The following is a 17,196-nucleotide window of genomic DNA, read 5'->3' as shown; positions in this document are numbered from 1 at the left end:
GGTTAAAAAAGGGAGCGGTTTCTTTATTTAAAATTTTTAAAATTTAAATTTTGTGTTGTAGGTTCTTTAAGCATTGACGAGCTAAAGACCATTTTAAATTCTAAGCCTAGGGAAGCTTACAATGGAACTAATCAGATGTTTTTATGTCGGTTTGTTCCGAGACAGTGGAAGACTGGAGGTCATGTGCTTGTGTCTAATGTTTAGCAAAATCTTAGTGAAACGAGGGCGATAGGAATGGGGGCTGGGGAAGACTTAGATGGGATAAAAAGAGGTGCGGCTGGAAGAACTAAATCACTTTAAAACTTCTGAAAATAAATGTTGACCATTGTAGTCAGAGGAGTAAAATGTTCAGAGAAATGGGGATGATTAAACAAGAACGGCAAGCCAGATTGAGTCAGAAAATTATCTTCCTGCCAGAAATTCTGTCTCCCACAACGGCATCAGGGGGTGGTTACTTGCCCAGGGTGTAGTCAGTTTTTAAAAAGCTTAAGGGTTACCAACATATTCCTAAATTTCCTGAATTTGCTGTGATTCCAGGATTCATTTAAACTCTTGAGACTGTTTTACTTTCGGCACGAAATCAGCTCATGGGCTTTATAAATGTAGAACCTACTGCATTATAGTTCTTCTTTTTGTTTATTCTAAAACTGTTAGTAGCAGCCAGCGTATTATATGATTTGGATTGGGCCATGAACAACCGTAACGAGTGATAAAGCACCCTTTCCTGTTCCAATGCAAAGAACAACTATGAAAAGAAAGTACTGGCAAATTTATCATCTTGTAGTTAGTTCCTGGCCAAAGAAAATGGTAAGGCCATTCTTTTAAGCAGTTAAAAAAAAATGGGGATGGGCTCTTAAACTTTGGCATGCTAAGGCCATTCTTTTAAGCAGTTTAAAAAAATGGGGATGGGCTCCTAAACTTTGACATACTAAAGCAGTCGTCATTTAGGTAAAATCTAAGTCTTAATGGAAATCGTGATTTCATATCTACTGCAGCGTTAGCAATCACATAATGATAACTTAAATCAGTAAATCGTTGAACTCGGTTCTCTAATCTTTGAAGAATAGAAATACTTTTTATCCCAAAAGATGTTTTGAGAATTAAATTTGCAGAGAATTTTTTAGGTCTTTAGTTGTAATTTATAGAGCTAGGTCTTTTAACTTTAGTGGAAACCATGCCCTCCAAACCCAAGTGACTGGAGTCAGAATGTGAAATAAGACGACATAAAATCCCTATTTCTTAAGGGGCTGGGCGAAAGTAATGGAACAAAATGTAACGTTATGCTATTGTGGCAGAGATAGCTAATGGAATGTTTCATTTCTAAGTCTGTAATTTCAGTAATTGTTAGAGGCAGTTTTCCATCAATAAGTTAGATCAAATGGTTAAACCCAATATGAATTTATAAAAGCTTAATTTAATTTTGGATTGATTTACCAGATGTTTAAGGTGGTTATAATGGGTAGTGTTGATGGTGGTGCTTTTGGAAAAATGAGTATTATATGCCTGCTCATCCCTTTACATTATCTTATCATATAAACTTCTTGATTACTCGTTATGATACTCTTAAATCGTACATTTAGAGGAAAAATCTTAAAGTAATCTGTAAGACCATTTCTCCTTAAAATGATATATTATGAGATGAAAGGAAAGATAAAGATAATTTAGAAGAGATCCAGAAGTGGACTAAATTTCTGGTAAGGAGGGGGCTAAAGATGTTAAAAGACATCTTAGGAAAAGCATATGATTTATAACTTTTAAAAGTGTCATTTAGATGGTTAAGGATTTGTGTTTAATAGTTCTCTTGAAAATATTGTTTTCCAAAAGTTTAAAAGCCCTAGCTACTTTTATACATTTGCCCTTAAAAAATGTACAGAATTTATTACATCAAACTGCTACAAAGAAATAAGAATTCTGATTTTTGCAAGTAAGTTGGAAATCAACGTAGAGGACAAAAAGTGGCATAGCTATATCTAAACAAAAAAGTATGTAATTCAAAAGTTGGTCCACAAAGAATTGAAAGCCTTTCAATAACTAATTTAAATGATAGAAAGCAGTATGTATATGCAAGTACATATGCTCCCTGTATAGAGAGTGGTTAGTAAGTAAGATGGTAGCCTAACTCACTGGAATAAAGAGATCCTTGGAGTCCCAAACCTCAAGACTAGGAGTCTTAATGCAGTTACCAGGCTGCATGCCTGTACCCAGAGACCATACTAGAGGCTGTGGGAATCCTCGATTACTGCTCTTAGAGCCCCCAACTTGACTGTTTCTTCTGTACCTGGTACTTTTTTCAAATATTTCAAATTGCAGTGATGCATGGGAGATACATTTAGAAAACATAATGCAGGGGAATAAAAGCAGTTAAAAACTAAGGACAGTTTCTACTGATGAAAATAAAAAACTGCTACAGCAACATCTTTTCATCATCTGTAAACATCATACCCCCAAATTTTCCTAAGTTATTATCTAACCTCATCAGTAGCAGATGGTGAATTATTTCATAGAAAATCCTGGAATGTAAACTCTAGATACTCAAGAAAACCTCTTTTTTTTCAATGAAGGTATATTATATTTAAAATAATAATGATGCATTAAACATTATGGGATAAAGAAAATACTTTCCATAGAAATTAAGCAATGGCCTAGGCAAAGAGAAGTAACCCTTTAGCATTAATACTATCAGTTAGACAGTGACATTTATTGAACATTCCCTGTGTTGTGTATTAAGAATTGGACTACCTATATCCCAGTCAACAATTTTTTCTGGAGTTTAGAAATAGTTTATGCTTATTTTCTGTGTTTTTTATTACCAAATTGTTATTAGTTTGGTGCAAAAGTAATTGTGGTTTTTGTCACTTACATGATGGCAAAAACTGCAATTACTTTTGCACCAACCTAATAGAAAAATACAAAATGGAGAATAGTTTTCAGGTTCCACAAAGCATTTGCTGGAAATAAATATCAGTTGTCTAAATAAGTAGTACTTGATTTATTACTATGATTTTCGTAGGGTTCCATTTCTGGAACAATATCATATTAATAAACCCTTTCAGTGAGACCATTGTGTGGTATTGCCCAAAAAGGAAAAAAAAATGTAATGAGAAAGGACTAAGGCTAATAAAATTCCATAAATACTATTATAAAGAAAAGTATAATTTGACTGAGATGCACAAATGCTTACTTGATAATGAGGTGTTTTTAAGGAAACTTCTATTAAATACTCTTTTTGAGTTTAATATACTATGAAACAATGTTGTCTTTTTTTTTTTTTTAATGAAGATTTCCTTGACTTCCAAAGACCTTTGATGTTCAAGCAAAATGTAGCAATTTGGTAAAAGTAAAGGGTGCATTTCGAACTGAAATAAACATAATGTCCTATTAAGACCTGTATTATATTTTATGGAATTTAACTTAGAATGTAAGATATTAGCTCTGCGGTTTTACAAGCTTGTTTAAATTCTGCAATGTAGGGCAACAGAAAATCCAAACAAAATCCATTAATGACTATATTACTTCTTTATTTTTCTTTTTAAATATTATATGTGGCCAGTCAGGATGAAGTTTTTTTTAAACTACATTTCCTAGTTGGACAGATCAAGAGTAAGCTCCAGTTTTGCTATAATCTCGTTTTGTGATTGCTGACAAGTCTATTACTCCCTCAGTTCCCCTATCACTAAAAAGAAATAACATTGTGGTAAAGAGGTGTTAAACTACCAAATCCACTGAAAAAGTATGGAAAAAGGTCACAGATGTGGCAGCTTTGGCATCTTCAGAAGAAAAGATAGCAACTCAATGTGATACTATTGGCAATACCATTTGTTAATTGAAAAAAGAAGAAGAAAGCAGTTACTAGACATCCATGATTTTATGGAGAAGCCATATTCTGTCATAGATGAGCTATTTACAGACATTCAATGGCACATTCTTTGACAAAGTGAATCATCACTGTCTAGTCTTTCTTGTATATGAATTTGAAGTATTGATTAAAGTTGTAGCATACCTGTAATTTTAAACTGTAAAACTCTAACACTCACAAAAGAACATTGAAAGACTGCAAATTTCTAGACTTGGAGGTTATAATTCCTTCTGTATGTTACTACTATCAGCTTATAAAATTTTAAAAAATGTGAGTGTAGAAACTTATATAAACTGTATTCACACATGAAGGATAGCCTAAATGCTCCGGACTGATAATCTGAAGGTCATTCTCACCTGGCTGATTGAACTACTTTTATTCATAGAAGCCAAAGTTTTGAAAGGTACAGATAGAATCTTGACTACCTTGCATTCGCAGTTACGTTTTAATTGCAAAATAACAAGCTCTTTAGTCACTGGAAACAAAACACTTTTAGCATTTAACTTTATAATACTTGAAATCCTACCTTGAAAGCATTCATACTCATTAAAAGCTCAACACATGATCCATGTTTACATAAGGATTTGGGTGTTGCTTAAAATGATCATGTAATGAGCTGCTTCTCTGCAAATTAATATTCACTCCCTTCCCTCATCCTTAATGTGGGATCTTTGAAGGAAAAGGAAGTGACCAAACTAAAGACATAGGGAAATGCAAAATCAAGGTGAAAAGTTACCCAGAGGGTTGTTTTAATTTTGGCCATCAACCCCCTAGTGAATAATGGTAACAGTATTGTTTTGAGACCCATTTTGTGGCATTTACCTATTGTTAAACTAAATTGACTAGATGTAAATATATTTTCATCTTCAGATATTTAGAATTTCTATCCTTCCCCATTGTTTCTGGATTTTGATACTAATCTTTTTTCTTTGCATATTGTATATATTTACTCAACAACTAATCTAATTTTAGATTTTTAGCTTATCCACATTTCATTTTTGTTTATTTCATTGGTATTTCATCAATACAATGGCTCTACCCTTCAAGGAAAAAAAACATCAGCCCGTCCCACAAAAACACATATATTCAAGAAAGATAAATTACATTGTGATGATTCAATCATAGTAAGTATTCACCACTGAATTTCTTTAAGAATAACTACTGTGTTCAAAATAATTTTTGTACTAATATTTCATTTGAGATATTTTATTTCTGTGGAATAAAAAGATTTATCATAGTAACATCAAGCTTGTATCTTGAACAAACAGCTCCAAATATAATAATACAAGCTCTACTTCATGCATTCAACATGTATTTAGAAACCTGGCTGGGCACAGTGGCTTACACCTGTAATCCCAGCACTTTGGGAGGCCGAGGTGGGCAGATCACTTGAGGTCAGGAGTTTGAAACCACCCTGGTCAACATGGTGAAACCCTGTCTCTACTAAAAATACAAAAATTAGCTGGGCATGTTGGCAGGCGCCTGTAATCTCAGCTACTTGGGGGACTGAGGCACGAAAATCACTTGAACCTGGGAGGCAGAGATTGCAGTGAGCCAAGATCACACCACTGCACTCCAGTCTGGGTGACAGAACAAGACTCTGTAAGAAACCTACTGTGTTGACCTCTTTGTTGGACTTGGGGAAAATAGTTGTGAACCAGAAAAGAAAAGCAAAGTCCTTGTTCAAATAGGTCTTATATTTTAGTAGGGGAAACAACCACCAAAGAAATAAGCAAAAAAATATAATTTCAAATATTCATAAGTGTTAAGAAAAAAATGAAACAATAATGCAAGGTGGGAAAGGAGACAGTGTACCTTACTCAGATGTACTGTAGGTAGGCCTGAGGAAATGTTCTTTGAGCTAAGGACAAGCTCATCAGGGGAGCATTTGATTAAGGGAGACAGATGAGGCAATGGCTTTGTGCTGGAAACCAGTATGTGGTTGGAAGGGAGCAGGGGGCATCTGAGTAGTAGGCAAGGGCTAGATCATATGGACATTGTTGGCCACGTAAAGGCACAGATATTTTATTTTAAATGCATTGAGAAGCCACAGGCAGGTTATAAGCAGAGGATTAACATGATCTGATTTACATTTACAAGGAAACCTTTTTAAAAAATCTTAACCTCTAATAGTTTATAATATATTGTGTATTATGTTTAGAGAGATTTAAAAATAACTTATATGATCAAAGACAAGTTTCTTTTTGTAGGGCTGTACTATTTGTGTGATATCAAAATGGAAGAAATATTTAACAATCTATATGGCATTTCTTACAGAGACTTAATAACTTTGTTGCAAAATGACTAAATCTTTGTAAGAGAGAAATCTTTTTCTCCATGAAACCTTAACTTTAATTTAAGGGCAGTGATTTTGATATTTAAGAGAAGCTTGAAATGCCCCACTTAAAAAAAAAACAACTCTGGACAACAGTGAAAAAGAAGTCTTTTTGTTTAAATGTAATTATTAAATAAGTGTGACAAAAATAGAGCTAATTTTAGGGATGCTCAGGGCTGAGACTGCTTTTCTTCAGTGGATAAAAATATCCATAGGCAAATCTAGGGACACTTTAAATAATTCAAGTAGTCATAAAAGGGTCTCAGAGGAGGGGACCTCTTCTGGAAGAGGTAGGTGGAAAGGCCATGCATTTTGATATTGGTGGATTGCTTTTCATTTAGAAACTACTTTGTTTTCCTTATCCAGTACAATTGAACAGTAGATGATTTCTACTCTGTTTCACGGGCTATTTCTTTATTAGCAAGGTTACACTCTTGAGCACCTGTGGGGACAACTGGCCTGGGCACTTTCTTCGTATCTGCCTTTATCTTCTCTCAACTCAGGCCTGTATGTACAAAGGTTAAATTTGTTCCTACTCAGTTAAAATCTAAAGGAAGGCCACCATAGGCCATTACTTTCTCTAGAGCACGCAAAGGTAATCTGTTTTCCTAGTTGAACATGGGAGAAGAAACACCTAGATGTTTTATACCATAGGCTCCAATGTAAATGTGAATAGGTGATATAAATTCCAAGCAAAAAGAAGAAAGTTTGCTTATCTTATCCAATACTTTTGAAATATATTACTATTTGATGGCATTTGGCATTTTATAAGATATGATAAAAACTTAAGACTAAAAAAAGAAGGCCAGATGCGGTGGCTCATGCCTGTAATCCCAGCACTTTGGGAGGCTGAGGTAGGCGGATCACCTGAGGTCAGGAGTTCGAGACCAGCCTGGCCAACATGGTGAAACCCTGTCTCTGCTAAAAATACCAAAACTTAGCTGGGCATGGTGGCGGGCACCTGTAATCTCAGGTACATGGCAGGCTGAGGCAGAAGAATCGCTTGAACTTGGGAGGCAGAGGTTGCAGTGAGACAAGATTGTGCCATTGCACTCCAGCCTGGGCAACAAGAGAGAAACTCCATCTCAATAAAAAAAAAAGGATAGCATGCCAAAGTTATTGCGTAAATTCTTTAAAAGGGGTACACATGTGCTCGTGTTGCATTTTTGTTAAATATCATCCTAAAACTTAGATTATTTTACAACTTAATTATAAAGCTTACGAATCCTGATCATATTGCTTTAAAATAGCACCTTGTTATGGGTAGAAAAATATTACCCAAACTTTATAGCCCACCTTATTAATGAACTTTGCTTCTAGTTGACTTATTTTATTTATTTATTTATTTATTTATTTTGGTGACAGAGTTTTGCTCTGTCTCCCAGGCCGGAGTGCAGTGGCGCGATCTCAGCTCACTGCAACCTCTGCCTTCTGGGTTCAAGGGATTCTCTTGCCTCAGCCTCCCGAGTAGCTGGGATTACAGGCACATGCCACCATACCTGACTAATTTTTTGTATTTTTAGTAGAGACAGGGTTTCACCATTTCGGCTAGTCTGGTCTCAAACTCCTGACCTTCTAGTTGACTTCTGTTTTCAAAAGTCAAAATCATTTTGAAGATGAACATTTGTCATTTGTTGAAAATTTTTAAAAATGTTAAATATGTTAGAATATCAAGTAAAAAAAATTAAAATTATATCATGCCTTTTAAAAATTACATGTATGCATAGTAAAAGAATTTGGGAGAAATACATTGGAACTTTAATAATGGCTATCTCTAAGGGATGAGGTAATAGGCTTTTTTTTTTGCTTTATATATTTTTTTCAAAATTTCTGCAATGATCACAAATCATTTTTATTTAAATATATTACTTTTATATATTTAAAAAATGTACCCACAGACTCCAGACTAAGCCAAAAATAACTTTGTAAGGGTGTATTAACAACAGCCAAGATTATAGTTTTAGCTGTTGTGATAGATGATAGTTCATAAATGCTATCCAAAGATAAATTGTCCCTTGGGAATAGTATATATTTGAATGCCCTCAAAGATAATATTAGAAATAATTGGTGCCTTTTCAGTTGAATCAAACTAATGCAGAGCAACTTTTAAGAGTCAATTTATGAAATACAAGAGGATTTTAGAACAGAATTACAAGGACAGAAAGGACAGAAAAATAATTAAAATATTAGAAGCAAAGTTGAAAGAGAGTGGGACGTCAGGAACTTTTGTTCTGTTACAGTCTCTGCAGCATTGTGTCTAGTTGTGTGTCCCTGAACAGGTCATAATTTCGATGGGCCTCAGTTTCTTTAACTGTAAAATAAGAGTTGACTGAACAGATGACTATTTTCAGTGCCAAGACTTTATGAATCTAAATTCCCCAAACAAATTTGGATTCTTGGTTTTACGTGCAGCAGTCAATATATAAATGGGTCCAGAAGATGTCTTTGCTTCAGCTTTGGTAACACTCAAGTGTGCTGGTTATTGCCTGATTTCCTCTTCTCTATCATTTTCCTGCTCTTCTCTGCACTCTTGCATTCCAGGAATGGGATGTTCTGGCTCTCATTACCAGGGATCCCCTTGTCTTCCCTGGGTTTAGCCAATGAGAACTGCTGGCAGGAGGTCAGAGGGTAGTAGAAAAAAGAATTTGGGTTATTTCTTTCCCCCTCCCTTTGAGCTAGCCTGAGATTCTGGTGGTGATGGCATTCCTCTACAACTGCGTACCCTGTCAGATACCCGCCCATGGCTCTAACTTTCACTGGGCTGCTTCAGATCCAGCTGTGGTGATGGCATCCCAATGTACTAGCCCCTGAATGCCTCAGCATTCCTTGTTTGGCCTCTTAACTCTGCCCACATTTCTGTAATTGTTCTTTACATTAGTTTGTACTCAAAATCTCCTTGGAACTGTGCCTTCAGTTTCCTGCTAGGACAAGGTGAATACATCCAAGTCATTTCTATTTTTCTGATTCCTACAACTTTGCTCAAATTCATTGTTTCCTGTCATACTCAGAATAAGAGTCAAGTCTTAACAATAACCTACAAGATTTGTGCTGTGCTCACCCTACTCCAGCCACAATGATCTCCTTGCTATTCTTATAGCCTACCAATGTACCCTCCTGCCTCAGGACTTTTGCACTTACTATAGTTTCTCCTTATTCCCTAAGCTGTTTGCATGGCTAATTCCCTTATCTTCAGGTCTTGGCCCAAATGTCACCTTTTCAGTGAGGACTTCCCTGACTACACTATTTAAAACAGCAAGCCTCCACCTCCCATCCCTCTTTTTGCTTGATTTTTCTCTAGCACACTTATAACCTTCTAATATACTACATTATTTACTTATTTTGTTTGTTGTCTCTCTTCCCATACTGAAGTGGATTATTCCAAGAGGGAGAGGGTTTTCATCTGTCTTGTTCATTCTTATATTCTCAGAGTGAATAATACAGCCTGGCACATACTGGATTCTAAGTAAATATTATGTAAATAAATGTTCCATTTTTACAACATGCTACAACAATTTTATTCAATATTTATGAAAGTAAAGTAATAAACATGCTGAAAAACATGGAACATTGGTAAAGTGGGAAATTCCCTGCAATGACAGATACTTTTGGAACATGTCTTTTTTTTATTGTTTTTGAGATGGAGTTTCGCTCTTGTTGCCCAGGCTGGAGTGCAATGGTGTGATCTCGGCTCACCACAACCTCCACCTCCCAGGTTCAAGCGATTCTCCTACCTCAGCCTCCCGAGCAGCTGGGATTACAGGCATGCACCACCACACCTGGCTAATTTTTGTACTTCTGGTAGAGATGGGGTTTCTCCATGTTGGTCAGGCTGGTCTCGAACTCCCGACTTCAGGTGATCTGCCCACCTCCACCTCCCAAAGTGCTGGGATCACAGGTGTGAGCCACCGCGCCTGGCCAAAACATGTCTTTTATAAAGGGGATAAAAGAGAGATACTATTTTACTTACAAGATAAAAGTTTCTTTACCTTTTTATTGATGCATTTTATTTGTTGCAAAATTTTCAGAAAATATGCAAGGTATGTATTGGATCATATGTTGAAGTCCTTGAGAAAATACCTTATTTAGTATTTAGAAAGTATAAGATTAAAATCTTGATCAAGAGTACGCATTACTTTGACACTAGCTATTCTTAATCGTATTTAATTCAAGGCACATTGACATATTTTAAATATTTGGTATAATGGCTAAAATAACATTTCCTTTGCATAGAAAAATCTAAAAAATATAGACACTGTAAGGGTAAAAACTTCTTATTTAGTTTTTTAAATGTAGGTCTATAGATATGTCACTGTAGTAACAAAGTATTAGGAAAAGCTCTATTTTGAATTCATAGAGTCTAAATGCTATTGATTAATAATGAATACTTAGATTTTTTAAATGTCTTTTATAGACTCATTGGGCTTTGTTTTCTTCATCTGTTTGGTTTGGCTGCTCTCATTTACATACTTGCTCTCATTAGGGTTTGAATTTCAGAGCTGGCCTCACTCTGCGATGAGAACAAATGTCTTGCCATGTGATACTAACTTTCCATTACATGCTGAAGCATTTGCAGTCCCAGAGGCAAAGAATTTATGGTTGGTACATGAGAGATAGAACCATCACATAAAAGAAGCCAAATTTGCAATCATATTTTTCCTTAGTGCTAATATAGTTTCGGGATAATGAGAACTCAGAATAATCAGCTAATGACCAGAAATGAATCATTATTAAAACACTGTTTTTCTGGCATAAAATAGCTAATGTTTCTAGTTGGTTGATAATTTTCTTAGCAACCATGGTATTTGGCACGTCCTAAACCACTTTTCACTAGAAGCCTTCAGACCCCACTGAAGCAGTTCATTATACTCTGAAACAGTTCTGAGAATCAGGGAGAATAATATACAAGTTTTGCTGATATTCTATAGCTGTATAGCCAGTATCCTGTAGCAAATACTTAAAATTTCCTACAAGATTTCTCAGTAATTCTCCAGCCAAGTAGGAAATTAAGTAGATGCAGCAGAAGAGATTAAAAAGTATTGGAAGTCGATCCCCAAGTTAGAGTTTGGTCAGAATTTCAAGCTTGTTTTATTGTTTTTTAAAAAGTAAATAAACAAGTTGTTTTATACTTTAATAATAGGGTCACCATTAATATAACATTTACATGGCATCATATTTCCAAGGGATTCTGTATATGTCCCAGCTTCTTGTTATTACTGACTATGCTCTGTGAGATTTTTTGGCGGCATGTATTACTTTGGTTTTGGCCAGAAAGTCAAAGGAAAAGAGTATTGAGAATAGCAGCCAATAACTATGAAAACTCATCACAGATTTATTCATATATCTGGTCATACCCTGCACACATATAGCACTGTATGGTTGTCAAACTCTTGGCATGCATGATATCATTTGATCTTTATAACCCTATATCTGTGTGACCTTGAGCAAATCACTCAGCCCATGGCTGTGACTCCTGTTTGGAAGCTGGGTTTAATAGATACCCTCTCCTAAGTCTATAGGAATGCTTCAGAATTAATAATAGAGTAGTTCAATGCATTGTGAACTTTGTAAAAGAAAGGTATTATTATAAATGCAAAATTATTTTATTCACCTAGCTTGGGACACTAAAATTTAGGGAGACTAAGTGAGTTGGCTCTAAGTGTTTAACCACATTGGTCCCAGGAAACACACAGAACCATGGATTAAAAGGTTGATGTTTTCTAGTTTAGATAAGAAGCATGAGATTTTATCATAAAGGGCAAAATACTGCTCATAAGTAGAGAATATTGTTTTCTAAAGAATATAACCAAATATTCATTCTGAACCATGAACTCACTAATTTAATTTAAATGTGTCAAACAGTATGATTTTATTAGTTATTGATCAATATTCAGGCTACATGTAACAATGGATGACAACCAGTTTTCTTGAAAAGATATCCAATTTGGAGGCAATTAATCCCAGAATTATTATGAATTACATAAACTGAGAAGATAAATTGGTAATATTTCTGATCAAAATAATATTTTCCAAATACATATATTTTCTGAGTAATATTGTATAAACAATAAAGTGGTCAACCTTGTCACTAATGTTTCATATAGCTCACATATTAGAATAAAACCTACTTAAGAACATCAGATATTTGATAAGATGTGTCAGTTTCAATTAAGCTAGGTTTTGCACCAGCCTAATAAATAAAGAACAATAATTCAGAAGCTAGGAAATGTAATTTCATTGAAAGATGGAAAGGAATAAGTATCTAGCATGAGCCAGGCAGTGTGGTAAATACATTTTAAATGTGACTTTATTTAATCTCTACAACAGCTCTGTAGGATAAACATTATTATCTCTAATTTAGAGATAAAGAAATCGAACCTTCAAGAGATTGAGGGCTTCCTCAAGAGTTTGTAAATCAGAGCCATAGTTGACCTGGATCTGAGTGATACCCAGGTATATGTTCTCTCCATTACTCCATTTTATAATTTAGGAACCACCAGATCAGATGTTCCCAAATTTGTGAAGAGGAACTACATTCTGGTTTTTTGTTTTGTTTTGAAACCTCATATTGGTGGAGGGAGGGGCCAGGAGAAAGAGGTTGAACCTGATGTGGATGAATGTGAGGATAAGGGCCCCTGATAGTGAGGGGCTACAGGCATGCGCCAGCAGGGCCGGCTAATTATTTTTTTTAAAGCTCTTGTAGAGATGCAGTTCCTCACTTTGTTGTCCCAGGTTGGTCTCAAACTCCTGGGTTCAAGCAATCCTCCTGCCTTGGCTGCCCAAAATGCTGGGATTACAGGTGTGAGGTTCTTCACAGGGGAATGAAGTGAGCAGAAAGTAGCTGCTTGCCAAGTGAAAGAAGCAATGGACCAATATAGGCTTTGAGGTGCACTTGTAAGCTGGTGTGTTGGGAACTGCCGACGTGGTTAGATGATGCTCTCTGATGGTCTTTCTGTTATATTAAGGAGTAGAGATTTTTAAATATTAGATAATTTTATGTTTCTATTGCTAAATTGGGGTTGAGGGGGATGTTGGTCTGTCATTCTATTTCACTTCAAATGAAGATGCATTTTTATCTGGAACGTATGTGGAACTGTCTTGGAATTTGACTCTGCCGGGTCAGATTATGTCCACACAGCATACAAGCAAATTCCCAGGATACCAGGTTGCTGTTTGAGGTTGGCTGCTGCTAATTCCTCTCCTAGAGAAGAGGACACTCTAGTTCTAGCCCCAGCTCTGCAACTGGCAGATCACCTCAGCTCTCTGGGCCTCTGTTCTTCCTCCTCTGAAAAATAAGGAGGCTGAACTAGACAATTCCTAGGCCTCACTTTCAGTCCTTCTGTTCTGCAGTTCCATGAGAAACAGAAAGCACAGCTTATCCTTTAAGCCCTCTAAAAGGCAAAAAAAAAAAAAAACTAAAACAATTATCTTCCATGGTAAAACTGTCTGCTATATACATTTTAATGTTCCAAAGGATTAAAGTCCATCAATCTTGTAGACTTGTTGGGAAACAAGTCGGTTGGCATTTTCATAGACTTTTTATTTCACCGTGTTTTAGCATTATTAGAAAATTTTTCTGTAGAGGAAAATTTTGCTAGGAGTTAATTCAATTTTTTTTTACATCTGATTTTGAAATTTAAAGTAAATCACTTGTTTTGAGTATCTTATGTAGACGCTTTTTAAGCCACAAATAATTTTGTCAAACTTCGCAAAAGTACACTCTGCCCTCAGAAGTTATTTTAGGTACAAATTACTTGTTATGTTAAATTGAATAGATGAAAATTTAAATGCTGTAATATTTAAGTTATTCCAACATATACACTTTGATGATGAATACATGCTAACTGGAAACATTTTACTGTAGTCTTACTTTATGCTTTTCTACTAATAATGTTCATAAATTCATGAATGGGTGGATAATCTTGGCAAGAAAATGAAAAGGCTTTTAATTGTGTAAAAATATGGATTTGTCTTCTTCTGGAGTTGTTGCTTGCTCAGCAGACACGTGTTGAGTCCTGCTAACTTGACAAGCACTGCACCACTTGCTGAGATTACAAAGATAAGTAAGATATGCTCTGTGGCTCTGGAAAATCAAAAGCTAGTAGAAGATGCCTGTAGTTCATCTGGAAAAAGAGAGCTTATAAAGTTTTTTCTACAATATGACCTCATTTGAACATATGGGGTGCAGTTATTATTTTCCTTATTTTACACAGGAAACTGAGTCTCATGGAGGTTAAGTTATAATGCTCAACTTGTTATTACTTGCCCAGTATCTGTTGTCCCTTAAACAAGGACTGGGACCATGTCTATCTTTTTCATTCTGTAGTTCCAGTACCTAGCACAGTACCTGGCACATAATAGGTGTTCCATTTGAGCACCTATTTGATGGATTAATAAATCCATCAAACATATTTGATGGATAATATCTCCAACAAATATTGGATCATAGGAAAGCATTACTAGCATTAGTCTTCTTACTCTTGAAGTAAGTACTCTTTCACTATGCCTTGCTGCCTCTGTAATTATAAACCTGTTTAGTATTAACAGGATGAATGCTTGTGGTATGGAAAAAGAGCTATATATGCTGCCTAATTTTTTAAATAAGGAAAGAGATTGCCTTTGAAAGGTAGAGGCTGAACACCCTTGGAAAAACAATAGGATAAATCCCCCAGAACTCAGACATCTTGATACTCAACCACAAAACATTCTTTTCTTTATGAAGAAATAATTTGGTCATATGTGTCAAGCTTTCTCATTATTTAGTGGTTTGGAATCATTTTAAATTGGCCATTAGAAGTAATGGCAGCAGGTTTGAGGGTCTAGAAGTATTATATATTGTGTACTTTATCAGTAATTTTTATGATATTTATGAAGCTCAGTATGGCTGATGTTAAGAGACAGGGTTATTAGCACTTCAGAACATAAGAATGGAATTTAAAATGACCTTAGAAAAATTGAGAGGTGTTGATCCTAAATAGGAACACATGTGGGGAGAAAAGACAAATGCACTGTAACTGCAGTATGCAACTGTGTCAGGGAGGAATTTAGAAGACCAAATTCAGAATCACAAAGTATTAATAATTCTTGTATTACATTCTTCAGACTATTACTGGAATACTATGGTCAGTCTCAGTCCCACCAGTTTAAGAGATTTGTAACAAATTGTATGAGATTTAGAGAATATAGAAAATAATTAAAGGTTAGAAATTTAGGAATGTGAAAACATAGAAAATAAGTTGAATTTTAGTCATGTAAGGTCTCAAAATATTTTACCTCTCATGTTTTCATTCTCAGAAGCTACTCAAGGATGTGCTCCACCAAAATGAGGATATGAAGCCAATATAAAGGAAGGCAATGAATACAAGAGACAGGCAAAGGGAGTTCCCAGGACATAAGCAAGGGACGTCCCAGGTAGCAAGTGTGCACCTGGTGTCCAGGGCCATCTGTCCAGGTAATGCATGTTATAAGGTGTAAGGGGAGATATTTTTCAGGAGGGTAAAAATAAAAGAATTCCTGATGCATCTGAATATTTTAAGAAAAAGGGCATGGTAACACATGCCTGTAATCCCAGTTAATTGAGAGGCTGAGGCAGGAAAGTGGCTTGAGCCTGGAAGTTCTAGGCTGCAGTACACTATGATCATGCTTTTGAATAGCCACTGCACTCTAGCCTGGGCATCATAGCAAGACCCCCATCTCAAAAGAAAGAAGGAGAGAAAGAAAAATAAAGAAAAATGGAAAGAGAAAGAAGGAAGGAAGGAAAGAGGAAGAAAGAGAGAAAGAAAAGAAAGAAAAAATGTTAAGCATTTGATGGAGAGTTTGGGGTTAAATTAGTGATATACACAGAGAATATTTGCTAAAACCAACAAAAACCAACTCCAGGGAAGCAAAAGTTTTGGCCAAAACAAAAAGAAGAATTATATATACTACAGAGCTTCACTATAACTAACATAAATACTAAGTATTAATCTAATCAAAATTTTGATGTAAAGATAGTAAGTAGATGAAAAGATGGGAAGGGTGGATGTGTGGGATGGGGTGGGAGAGGGTGGTGAAAGAAAGCTGTGCCCTTGTATTTCACAGTGAGAAGTCACGGAAAATGCCTACACTTGAAAAATCAAATTAGTAACATAAGCAAATATAGCATTAAAAAGTTGTGGAAGTAAACATCAAAACTACCAACCAACAAATTAATCAAACGAACAAAACAAAATTGCTGAAAACATTGAATGTGGCCGCCTTTGGAGTGGAGAGAAATATATTGAGAGGAGGTACAAGGGACCATTATTTTTTATATCAAACCTTATTTAAAGCTTATTTAAACCATGAGCTTGTATAACTTTGGTTAAGGCAAACAAAAATAAATTAAATTATTTAACTACATAAAATATATTTAAGGACCTAATAATCACCAAAAGTAAGGAAATTTGTTTTGTCTCAGGGTGATGACAACTGCTTGTTGTATTTACAAACTCAAGATTTTGGTTTAGTGGTAAGTTCTAGTAAGGATTGTTGTATGGGAGTTTCTAAACAGATGAGTCATTCCCTTTCCTGGAGCTATGGGGGGACTAGCAGTCAACACTCAATAGCCTGGCATGGTTTAGGTGCAGTTATAGAGTAAGGTTGTGTGCATTTCCCTGTCTCATTTGGGTTCCTTATAATTCTGTAGGCCTCCAGCAGTGGTGTGGTGTGAAGACAAAGCACTGGATTTGTAGACACACAGACCCCAAGTCAAATGCCAGCTCAATCATATGCTATTTATGTGACCTCAGAAAGTGACCCAACCCCTCTGAATCTTAATTTCCTCATCGTAAAATGGGGCCATGTGATATCCACCTCATGTGCTAAGCCATTAAATGAACTTACGTTTATAAAGTATCTGGCAGATGCTAAAAAAATATCAGTTCCTTCCTATCCGAAGTAGTGAATCTCCTCACGGATTCAGAGCAGTAATCATTTGAATCATATGATGATAATGTATATTCATCTCTAATGCAATCAGGTAGGGAAT

Source organism: Homo sapiens, chromosome 3 (assembly GCF_000001405.40).
Source record: "Homo sapiens chromosome 3, GRCh38.p14 Primary Assembly".
In the NCBI taxonomy this organism is placed as follows: domain Eukaryota; kingdom Metazoa; phylum Chordata; class Mammalia; order Primates; family Hominidae; genus Homo; species Homo sapiens.
This window is presented reverse-complemented; position numbering follows the sequence as displayed.